At 41.4% G+C, this 11,590-nt stretch overlaps 1 annotated feature.

Annotated features, from left to right (window-relative positions):
• Positions 9,755 to 10,334: an enhancer, noted in NCBI's record as "OCT4-NANOG hESC enhancer chr8:50005272-50005851 (GRCh37/hg19 assembly coordinates)". NCBI's record gives its function as "activates a minimal SCP1, AML or CMV promoter by ChIP-STARR-seq in primed H9 embryonic stem cells {active_cell/tissue: H9 hESC(primed)}" and the evidence as "EXISTENCE:reporter gene assay evidence [ECO:0000049][PMID:30033119]".

The following is an 11,590-nucleotide window of genomic DNA, read 5'->3' as shown; positions in this document are numbered from 1 at the left end:
CTCCAAGACGCCCGGTCCCATAGACCACCCAAGGGCTGAGGAGTGCAGGTGCCGGGCGTGGGACTGGCAGGCAGCTCCACCTGTGGCCCCGGTGCGAGATCCACTGGGTGAAGCCAGCTGGGCTCCTGAGTCTAGTGGGGACTTGGAGAACCTTTATGTCTAGCTAAGGGATTGTAAACACACCAGTCAGCACCCTGTGTCTAGCTCAGGGTTTGTGGATGCATCAATCGACACTCTGTATCTAGCTAATCTGGTGGGGACTTGGAGAATCTTTATGTCTAGCTAAGGGATTGTGAATGCACCAATCAGCACTCTGTGTCTAGCTCAAGGTTTGTAAATACACCAATCTACACTCTGTATCTAGCTAATCTAGTGGGGAGGTGGAGAACTTTTGTGTCTAGCTCAGGGATTGTAAATGCATCAATCAGCACCCTGTCAAAACGGACCAATCAGCTCTCTGTAAAACAGACCAATCAGCTCTCTGTAAAATGGACCAATCAGCAGGATGTCGGTGAGGCCAGATAAGAGAATAAAAGCAGGCTGCCTGAGCCAGCAGTGGCAACCCACTCGGGTCCTCTTCCACACTGTGGAGGATTTGTTCTTTCGCTCTTTGCAATAACTCTTGCTGCTGCTCACTCTTTGGGTCCACGCTGCCTTTATGAGCTGTAACACTCACCGCGAAGGTCTGCAGCTTCATTTCTCAGCCAGCGGGACCACAAACCCACCAGAAGGAAGAAACTCCGAACACATCCTAACATCAGAAGGAACAAACTCCGGACACACCGCCTTTATGATCTGTAACACTCACTGCAAGGGTCCGCGGCTTCATTCTTGAAGTCAGTGAGACCGAGAACCCACCAATTCGGGACACAATACCACCACACATACACTTGGGGATGAATAAGTGCAGACTGATGGGTCGGCTCTTGGAAGTGCCTGATTCACTGCATCCTGTTAAGTCTCCAAGGAATGCCAACTTATTCACCTTGTCGTTGGAGACATGAGGTAAAATTGGTCTTGGAAGATGGAGGCTGGATGGCCCTCAGGGGCTGACCCGCAGGGTGTTGAACCTCAGGAAATAGCAGTGAAAGAGCTTGGCACTATTTGTTATTCCAGGCAGTGGAATCTTGAAAAAGAGCTATCATGCACTCCATGTCTGCTTGATTTGAGGATCATCCTAGTGGAAAGGGAACAACCTGGGCCTCTGACTTACCATGTGCACAAGCATAACAGTCATTTTGTTTAAAGTGCAAATGGAATATTTAATCCATTCTAACCAGGCATTTACATCTTTATACCCTGTTTCAATGGCTATGGTTTGCCTTCAGTTCCCTATTTCTTCTACTGAGACCTTGGTTTTGTCATTTGGCATGAGGTGACTCAGAGTTTGATTTTGTAGGTTTGGGAAAGGGGCACTTGTAGGAGGTGGAAGAGGGAGAACAAAGTGCATCTTAAGTAAGCCTATAGGATCATTTCCAGTGGCCTCTGCTCCTAAACCACAGAAATGCTCTTAAGTGGGTTTAGAGTTGCTAGTGGTAGGAATGGTAATGGCTATAAGCACGGGGTTACACTGGTGGGATTGACAATTGCGGGGTAGGGGGGCAATCCCTTCAGTAAGGTTGAGATGGCTTTAAGTCGGCACATCCCTCCTCAGAGGTCCAGCCTCAATCTTTAGTAGTCCAGATGACATCTGCGCACTGACCATATAAATTCCAATTTGGGGTATCTTGGTACCCCCATCAGAAGCAAGCTGCAGGGGTGGCAGTGGCCTCCCTGGAGGGGCAGAGGTATTTTCCCGAAGTAGAGAGTTGTCTCTGTCTTTGCAAACCTCCACAAGGTATAAAAAGGCAAGCATCAAATGTTATAACCTGTGGTGAATCTGATTTGGTTATATTGATGACAAGATGAGGGGTAGTTAGAGGGAAGGAAAGAAAAGAAAAAGATAGATAGACTAATCTTTTTTTAGCTTTAATTTGATAGGACTTGATCCAGGAATAATGGCCCATGATTCTGATGATAATTGTGCTTGCTTGACTTGGTGTGATGTGTCCATCCCCTTTCCACTGTGCCAACAGCAGTCTCAGTGGTTAGCAGCACAAGGTAGGGTTCTTCCCAGGGTGGCTTGAGTTTCCCTTCTTTCTACCCTTTGATGAGAACGTGATCTCCAGGCTGTTGCTGATACACTGGGAACTCCAAGGGCAGCGCCTGTGCTAAAAGACCTTTTGTTTTAAGGGAAGAGAAGGTGAAAGAGAGACCAAATATATAATTTCTAAGAAATTGATCCTTGGTTTCAAATGTGTGAACATTAGCTGAGGAATGTAGGTAAGGTAATCCATATAACATTTCATATGGGGATAAGCCAATACCCTTCCGGGGAGCAGTCCTAATCCTTAATTACTCAATGGAAAGACATTTGGTCCATGGCAACCATGTTTCCAAAATAATTTAGTTAAAAGGTTTTTAAGAGTTTGGTTCATCCTTTCTACTCTTCCAGAGGAGGAGGGTTGCCAGGGAATATGAAAGTCCCATTTTATGTCTAACACTTAGGCTAATTTCTTAATAATATGTGCAGTGAAATGGGTCCCATTGTCTGAAACAATATTTTCTATTATTACAAATCTAGGTATAATATGCTCAATTAATGCCTTCACCACATTACTAGCAGTTGCCTTTGAGAGAGGAATAGCTTCTACCCAGTGTGTGAAATGATCTACTATTACTAATAAATATTTTAGACAGCCAATTGAGGGCATTTCAGTGTAATCTATTTGGACACTTTGGAATGGTCTTAGCCCTGGAGTCCTTCCTCCAACAGGTAATTTTCTTAGGGCCTGTTTATTTGTTTTCTTACTTATCAAACAACCATCTGTGACTTGTTTAGCTAAGGTATAAATTCCAATGCACCTATAAACTCTGAGAACCGCATCACACAGAGCTTGGGGGCCCCAATGAGTCCCTTAATGCAGATGAGATAAGACCTCCCTCATAAGGGGCTTGGATAACATTTCCCTTTGATTTGGGAGTATCCATCTTCCTTCTGAATTCTCCTGAGCTCCAATTTCCACTAATTTTTCTTTCTCAGCCTGAGAGAAAATAGGAACTATAGTGGAAGGAGGAAGATAAGGAGTCAAATGGAAAATGGGTGTCTTAGAGACTGCAGCCTTCTTGGCTACTTGATCTGCAAGATTATTCCCTCGGCTTTCAAATGAGGAATCATGTTGATGTCCAGGAGCATGGACAATAGCTATTTCCTCCGGCAACTGGAGATTATTTAGAATGCGGGTTATCAATGTTTCATGAACAAGATCCTGACCTGTATTGTTAATGAGGCTTCGTTCAGCTGAAGTTTCCCAAATGTATGGGATACTCCAAAGGCATATGTAGAGTCAGTATAGATGGTTCCTATTTGGTTCCTAAATATTTCAAAGCCTGACTGAGAGCACGTAATTCACAAGCCTGAGCAGACCAACTATTAGGTAATCTTCCTGATTCTATTTCTTTGAGAGTTTCCCCAGAAATTACTGCATACGTATTATGTCGTGTTCCATCAAATACCCAGGAGGATCCACCTGTAAATAAGTGTCTCCCCGTTTTAAAGGGAGTTTCTACTAAGTCTGGTTGTACCTTTGTGTGATAGTCAATTAAATCCAGACATAGGTGTTCTGTTTTTAGCAATGGGTTTCCTGTCAAGAAATCTGCTGGGTTAAGTGAATTATCTGTGGTTATGGTTAAATCATCTTTTCCTAATAGTATAGCTTCATATTTTAAAATTCTAGAGTCAGTGAGCAATCCTCCTGCTTTCTGGTTCAGGATGGCTCTGACTTCATGAGGTGTACTGACTGTCAGTTATCCTCCAAAGGTTAGCTTCCTACTTTCTTCTACTAATATTGCTGCGGCTGCAATGGATTGAATGCACTGAGGCCATCCGCAGGCGACAGGATCTAAAAATTTAGACAGGAAGGCCATTGGCTGCCAGCAACCACCACGTTCCTGAGTAAGCACTCTTAAAGCTACTCCATTGTTTACATTAACAAAAAGATGGAATGGTTTTTCTAAGGAAGGTAAAGCCAAGATGGAGCAGACATTAGTCTCTCTTTTAACTCATTAACTTGATCAACCTCTTCAGAGGACCATATAAGCAGATCAGGCACTCTTTTAGTTAATTTTTCATATAACAATTTACTCCCCAATGCATATGAATCAATCCATAGATGACAGTATCCAATTAACCCTAGAAATTTTCTAAGTTCTTGTTTGTCCAGGACAATGGCAAAGACACAATTCCTTCAACCCATTCGAGTTCTATTCTTCTTTTCCCTGCACTGATTAAGTGACTTAAGTATCTAACTTCAGGTTCTACAAATTGAAGTTTTCCTTTTGAAACTCGCAACCTCTCAGAATGTAAGTGATTTAGAATGTATCCAGAAAATTCAGTTACTTTTTTCTGTGTCTTCCCCAGATATAAGAATATCATCCATGTATTGAAGTAGACTCAGTTGCTTTGGAACAGCAGCCTTCTCTATTTTCTCTAAAGCATGACTAAAAAGATTTAGTGAGTCTGTAAATCCCTAGGGCAAAACTGTCCATCTATATTGTTGTTTCTGTCCTATATGAGGACCCTTCCATTCAAAAGCAAATATGTCACGGCTGTCTTTGCCAAAGGTCATGCCCAGAAAGCATCTTTTAAAACTATGATGGTGAACCACTGATGACTGTAGCAAATCTTACTAAGAATAGTGTATGGGTTAGGCATAATAGGATAAGTGGTTTGGATTATTTCATTAATAGCTCTAAGGTCTTGCACTAATCAATATGACCCATCTGATTTCTTGACCGGTAAAATGAGAGTGCTATATGGAGACATACAGGGTTTGAGAAGCCCATCCTTGATAAGTCCTTCAATCACAGGTTTCAACCCCACCCGTCCTTCTAAAGAGATACGGTACTGCTTCCTCCTTACTATCTCCCCTGGAATCTTTAATTTGATTTGGATTGGGGGAATTCATAACTTCCCTCGATTTCCCTCCTTGGACCAAATATCAGGATGAATGTACTTTTCATCTGCCATAGTCAGCAAATTTAGAGAAGTTGGAAACTTCTTGGGCCAAATTGTAGACTCTATGCCTAATTTTAGCATTAAATCTCTCTCCCTAATAAATTTGTTCCTGCTTCACGAATTAATAAAAATTGAATACAAGTTGACCAATCTTTATAATTCACCTCTGTGTTTTCTAAAATCTTTATTTTAAATCCTCCTCTTTTCACCCCAGAGACTAGCAATTACTCTGGAGAACAAGTTAAATCAGCTGGGGTAAAACAGACAAACACACAGCTCTGGAGTCAATTAAAAAGGTGATTAACTCATGGTTGGGTCCCACCTCTAAATATATCAAGGGCTCCTGGTGGGACTCGAAATAGAAAAGAGAGCCCCTGATCCCCCCTATTCTTCTTCAAAAGTAGGCATGAGTGGAAAAGCTTCCTCTGCACTCCTCAATTCAGGACATTCTTTCTTGAAATGGCCTGTTTTTCCACATTTGTAACATCTATCCTGCTCTCCTCTCCTTAGCCCAGGACCTGTTTGTCTCTGTCTTTCTTCCTTCCTCTCACATTCACAACTTTTACACTTACTTTGACTTTCTCCTTTGAAATACTGACCCTGCCTCCTCTCCTTTTGCATTCCAGAATTCCAGGGACTTCCTCTCTCACTGCCTTTGGAAAACTGTGCTGGCACGGGTCTAAATTTGCCCCCTGGCATCATTTGCCCCAGTGAATTTTGCCAAAAGATCTTGCTTTCTGCCTTTGCCTTTCTTCATCCCTCCCTACATATACTTTCTGGGCTTCTCCTAAAAGCTCTTCTATTGACAGATTCTTCCAGTTTTCTAGCTTTTGCAACTTTCTTGCAATATCTGGCAAGCTATCAGTAACAACGTGCAGCTTTAACATCCCTTGCCCAACGGGGTTTTCTGGATCTAAATCAGCATATTTTCTCATTTGATCTCTTAATCTATTTAGAAACTTCATGGGCTCCTCATCTTTTCCTGTTGTTTATCAAAAGCTTTAGAGAGATTTTGAGGTTGGGGTGCTGACTCTCAAATTCCTTGAACAATCATTTCCTTTACATCTCTCATGTTATTTGGGTGGGCTGCAATATTATTGTCCCACTGCGGGTCTTGAGCTGGAAATTTAGTATCAGCTGCTGGGGCATCCTGGCCTGGAGGATGGTCATGCTCCCAGGCCGCCATAGTAGCTCTGCAGATCATGTTCCGTTCTTCCCTTGAAAAAAGAATACCTACAATGGACATTAACTAGGTCCAAGTGTATAACTGAGGGCTTAAAAACTGATCCATCTGTTCTGCTACCCCATCAGGTTCGTCTAATAATGGCTTAAGTTCTGTCTTTAGGCTACGGACCTCAGAAGCAGTTAAAGGAGTGTTTAGGAAGCCAATCGCGCTTCCTCCCTGTGGCACCTCCTTTAAAAGAAAAAGCTTTGAAGCTGAACCTGATTCCTTAGAGGAGGGGAATGGAAAATTTTGAATATCCTTTTTACATTGTTCTACCTCCTGCCGGAGCCCTTTATTTAAAGAGGAACATTCAGGCTGGCAATGATCAGGCTTTTGAGGTGCTAACTCCCAAGAGCCTGGATTATACAGGAGGCTAGGAAAATCTGGGTCAGGTTCCAGGGCCACCACTTGGGAAGCGGGAGGGAGGGATGGGGGCTGTGCTGCAGGAACAGTAGGGGCAAGGGCAGCAGGAGCAGACCCGGTGCCGGCAGGAGCTGGAGGCTCCCCAGGTGGCGACAGAAATAAGGGAAGATGGTCCAAGGGGTCCCACTTGCATGGGGGTTGCTTGTGGATAAAAACTTCACTCTCGTCAGGTGAGACTACTCCCGACTTTATTCTGATCTCTGATTGTTTTCGTCCTCCTCTTAATGGGTGAAGGAGAACTGGCCCCCTGTCGCCAACAGAGAGCATAATTTATTTCTTCTTGGGACACAGGGCTTTTGTTGTTGACATACATTGTTAAGAGTTGACAGACCCCATCCTTATCTGACCCAAATTTTGGCCAGATAACTGCAGGCTTGAGGATCAGTTCTTTGGTCCAAGTGAAACAACAATATTTTATCATTTGGTGCTTTTTCTTATGCTTAGTCCTTTCATTATCCTTCCAATATGTTAACATATACCCTAAAGGACTATCAGAAGGAATCTGATCACCTTCACCTCTCCCTGAGTCAACTTTACTCCCTGTCCTTGTTTTACTACAAATGTTTCCCATATTGTGTACTGGTCAGGTTCAATCTCCTGAAATTTGCAGAAGGTTCAATCTCCTGAAATTTGTGGAAAGTTGAACCTCACAAACCAAGGATGTCTTGCTTGCCTGCCCTGGAAGTCTCGACCCCTTAAACCAGGAATGTCTTGCCTTGCCTGTCCCAGGAGGTTGACCTGTTTCCTCCCTTTCGCCTTCGGAAGGTCCCTTGCACACTTCCCACTCATGTTGTCCTCTTTGGCTGTTCCCCCAAGGGAGAATTAGGCCCCTGTTAGCATTGGCATGCCAGTATAAATCCCACAGCAGGATCCGCCCTAAGCCATATGAGGTAGCTACGGAACCACAGAGAGGACCCACTCACTCCATCCAGCAGTAGGACTTGCCACCATCCACAAAACAATACCGCAAGCAGGGTTGTCTGTGATCATTCATGCACACACACATTCAGCCCTCCAGAATTTGACCACCAAGGAAGTACTTTAATGGCTGCCGTGGCTTCTCCTTCCTTGGTCTGTGCACAGAGTTGTTGCCACAGTATGTGAAGATCCTTTACACCAGGTTGCAGGCTAGTTTCTTTCCACGTTGCTGAGAGTCAGGGTTTATTTGTCACACTGGGTAGGACTCAATTCCTTACTTCTGAGGCCACCGCAAGAGGCAGCAGGGCACCTCCTCATGAGAGAGGACTAGAGACCACCCCCAGAGGAGAATGTATCCCTGTTTGGAATGCCACCAAAAGTTGTTAGAAACAGATCATCAGTGCTGCGAAGAAAAGTCAGCACAGAGACAAAGGATCTCTCAGCAAAGCAATCTTTACTTTCTGCAGAAAGGGTGACCCTCACAGATGGAACAATGGCAAGAGCACACCTGAACAAAGGAAAAGCAGACATATTTATCCCTTATGCATTTGGGTCATCCTTACTGCTGTATCCTGCATCCATTGGCTGGAGCTGGACCTCACAGTCTTAAACTGATACTCGATTTGATAATAACCTAAAACTTTCCTAAATAGGTAAGTGCAAGGGAGAACAAAGAAGAAAATAAAGTTGCTTACAAAAGGTTTAAGGAAGCAATAACATTTCCAAATAAGGAAGGGGCATAAGCTATGAGCTAAGACTTTCCTGGGCCTGTCCAGATATGCCTGAGTAAGCCAAAGCAACTAACTGGGCTAAAGTGTAAGAACTAAGAGTTGACAGGAGGCTTTAGAGTAAGGAGCTATTATTCCTAGTGTCTATCAATTTAATTTTAAACCAAGATGCACTTTGAAGAGGAACTTTTCTACTTTCTACAGAAATCAAGCTAATTAACATCCCCCACCTGACATACTTATCAATATCTATGGTGAGAACTTTTGAAACTTACTCTCAGAAATTTTTAGTTGAACAATACATTATTATGAACTATAGTCATTGTACTATTCAACAGATCTCAATAATGTATTCCTCCTGTCTAACTGAAACTTTACCCTTTGACCAGCATTTAAGTGGAAACCTCCATAGCTAAAAGTCTCTTTGGCTAGTTAAATTCACTTCTTAAGCATGCACTCTTATGTATGTTCTGCATATATTAAAGTGCTAATTAACAACAGCTAATAGGCATTAAGCATCTATTATATTGCATGCCATATTCTATGTGTTAAAGCTTTATGGACATACTCTATTACATCATTGAAATAAACCCAAAGCATACTTTTTTTAAAAAAACTATTCTTATCTTAAAGATTAGAAAAGTGATATTTAAAGTTTAGTAAATTGCTAAAAGTCACTGAAATAGTGTTAAAGGTAAGATTTCAATCCATGCAATCTAACTTTATAGCTCCAAAGCCAAACTGCAGCCTAAGCTTACATGTATGTTTCATCTTCATGTAAGCGATCTGATGTTCAGTTACAGGCTTAAGCTCTAGCCCAGAAAAGATGATATTTAAATAATTATTATTGGTCCCCAGGGACCTAGAAATATATTTTAAGCAAATAATTTAAATTAATCCTGTGATGAATAAAATAAAAGCACGCATTCTAGTATGATAATATTGTGTATGTTTATTGCAAAAACTGAAATTAATTATTCCTTCTTTAGTTGCATATGAAGTTAATACATGCAAAAACTCAATGCACCAGTTTTTATATAGCAATATAAAGTCACAACTTAACATTACTTTTCCTAGAATTCATCTAAGATAACTCATAGAATAAAAAACAGAACTGAATAATCAATCTCCATTGAAATTAAAATAATTTTTAAAACAAGGGCCACAAAAAATGAGGGAAGACAGACAAGGGAAAAAAAACAGTGAAGACGAAATAAAAGTGTATGAAAACCTTCAGAGAAGATATGTATAGTTGTGGGTTTCAGATAAAGCGAGTAGGTCACCCCAAAGCACAGGAAATGAGGCTTAAAGTTATCATTCTTTCCTTTAATATGTGAACTGAAAATATCTGAGACAAGACTCAGTCAATTTTGAAAGTTTATTTTGCCAAGGTTAAGGACCCACCCAAGACACAGCCTCAGGAGGTCCTGATGACATGTGCCCAAGGTGGTCAGGGTACAGCTGGCTTTCACACATTTTAGGGAGACATAAGACATCAATCAATACATGTAAGGTTTACACTGGTTCCATCTGGAATGGTGGGACAACTCGAAGCTGGGGAGCTTCCAGGTCATAGGTAGATTTAAATATATTCTGATTGGCAATTGGTTGAAAGAGTTATTATCAGCAGAAAGGAATGTCTGCATTAAGATAAGTGGTTGTGACCAAGGTTTTGTCATGCAGATGAAACCTCCAGGTAGCAGGCTTCCAAGAAAATAGATGGTAAATGTTTCCTATCAGACTTAAGGTCTGTGTTAATGTTAATGCTGGAGGGGAATAATGAGGTTTCCTGTCATGGCCTGAACCAGTCTTTCAGGTTAAATTTTAGAGTGCCCTGGCCAAGGAGGAAGTCCATTCAGATGGTTGTGGGGCACAGGGAGCAGCGGGGGATGGGGGGGGCACAGGGGATGTTGAAATTTGTTTTTGGGTTACAGATAGTAGCAACAGATGTGAGGCTGGTTAGGAGCACTTCCCTGGTTCCCATTTAACATAGAGCTGCAAAAAGTAGAGAAGATAGAAAAGTTTTAAAAACACACAGAAAAGCCATATTTTTAAGGAACAACATGTTTGTAAAACATAGGTAGAGAATGGATACTTCATCCTGCAAACAACTCTGCAGTGACAATTTTGAGTTGCACTGGGAGAATATGGCTTAAAGAACACGCATGCATACACTACACCTGGCTAATGAAGAACCCTGGTCACCCAGAACACACAACTCCAGCTCACTCATGCAAAACTCTTTGGAAAAAGAAACTTATTTAGAAATAACTTTATTTAAAATTGATTACGAATATTAAAAAGAGCAAGCATAGACTATTTGAAATATTCTCTAAGAAGGAGCTTTGATGAACAAATTGCAGGCCAAGAGTACGCAAACAACAAAATTACAAAATTACCAAAGAGCAGATGGAAATTTTACCAAATACATTGACAATGATTTTTTTAAAAAGAAAGTATGACCTCCATAAAACAGAATCAAAAAGCACAAATAAAAGAACTGAATGTGCTATAAATATTTAACAAAAGAGATGAAACGTCAGCACAAGAGAAAGAAAAATTAAAATAATTATGATAATCAAGACCAGTAGTTACAGCTTAAAGGAGAATAAAATCATGAAAACAGCAAGAAACATGGAATTGAGGAATGAGAAAAACAAGAAAAATGAAATGAAAATGAATACGTTTCTTTCCATTCTGGGGAAGTGATTGTAGGGAAGGCAAAACAAATTTTTCTTTTCACATTCTGAATTATTAGTTGGAACAGGCCCCTATAACAAAAGATAAGTTAGCAAGAGAAAAACAAATAGAAGTTTATTAACATGGATATTGCATGTTCTTTCTTCATGGGAAATACCCAGGAAGTTAGTGGTTCTGAAAGAGGTGGCTGTGAGATGGCTTATATGCCATCATCCACAGAAACAAAGAGAGAAGCCTGTGGGGAGCACTACCCATGCGGAGATACCAGGAAAAGCTTAGTGCTTGCAGATATAAGTCAGTGCCTTCTCTCCTGGTAAGTCCTGGTGATTTACAGCCATTCTTCTCTCCCTCTTGCAGAGAGAGAGCACACTTACGAACAAAAATTTCCTTCATGGATTTACATTTCCTTGACAAAAGGGTAACTTCTACTCTATTTTCAGAGTTTCTCCTGTGTCAGCAGTTTCTCAAAATAATCAGCTCAAAATAGTCCTTATGCCAAAGAGGTATATTTTGGGGTGGCATATTTTGATCTCCTCCATG

The sequence above is a fragment of the Homo sapiens genome, chromosome 8, assembly GCF_000001405.40.
Source record: "Homo sapiens chromosome 8, GRCh38.p14 Primary Assembly".
NCBI lineage: Eukaryota > Metazoa > Chordata > Mammalia > Primates > Hominidae > Homo > Homo sapiens.
This window is presented reverse-complemented; position numbering and strand designations above follow the sequence as displayed.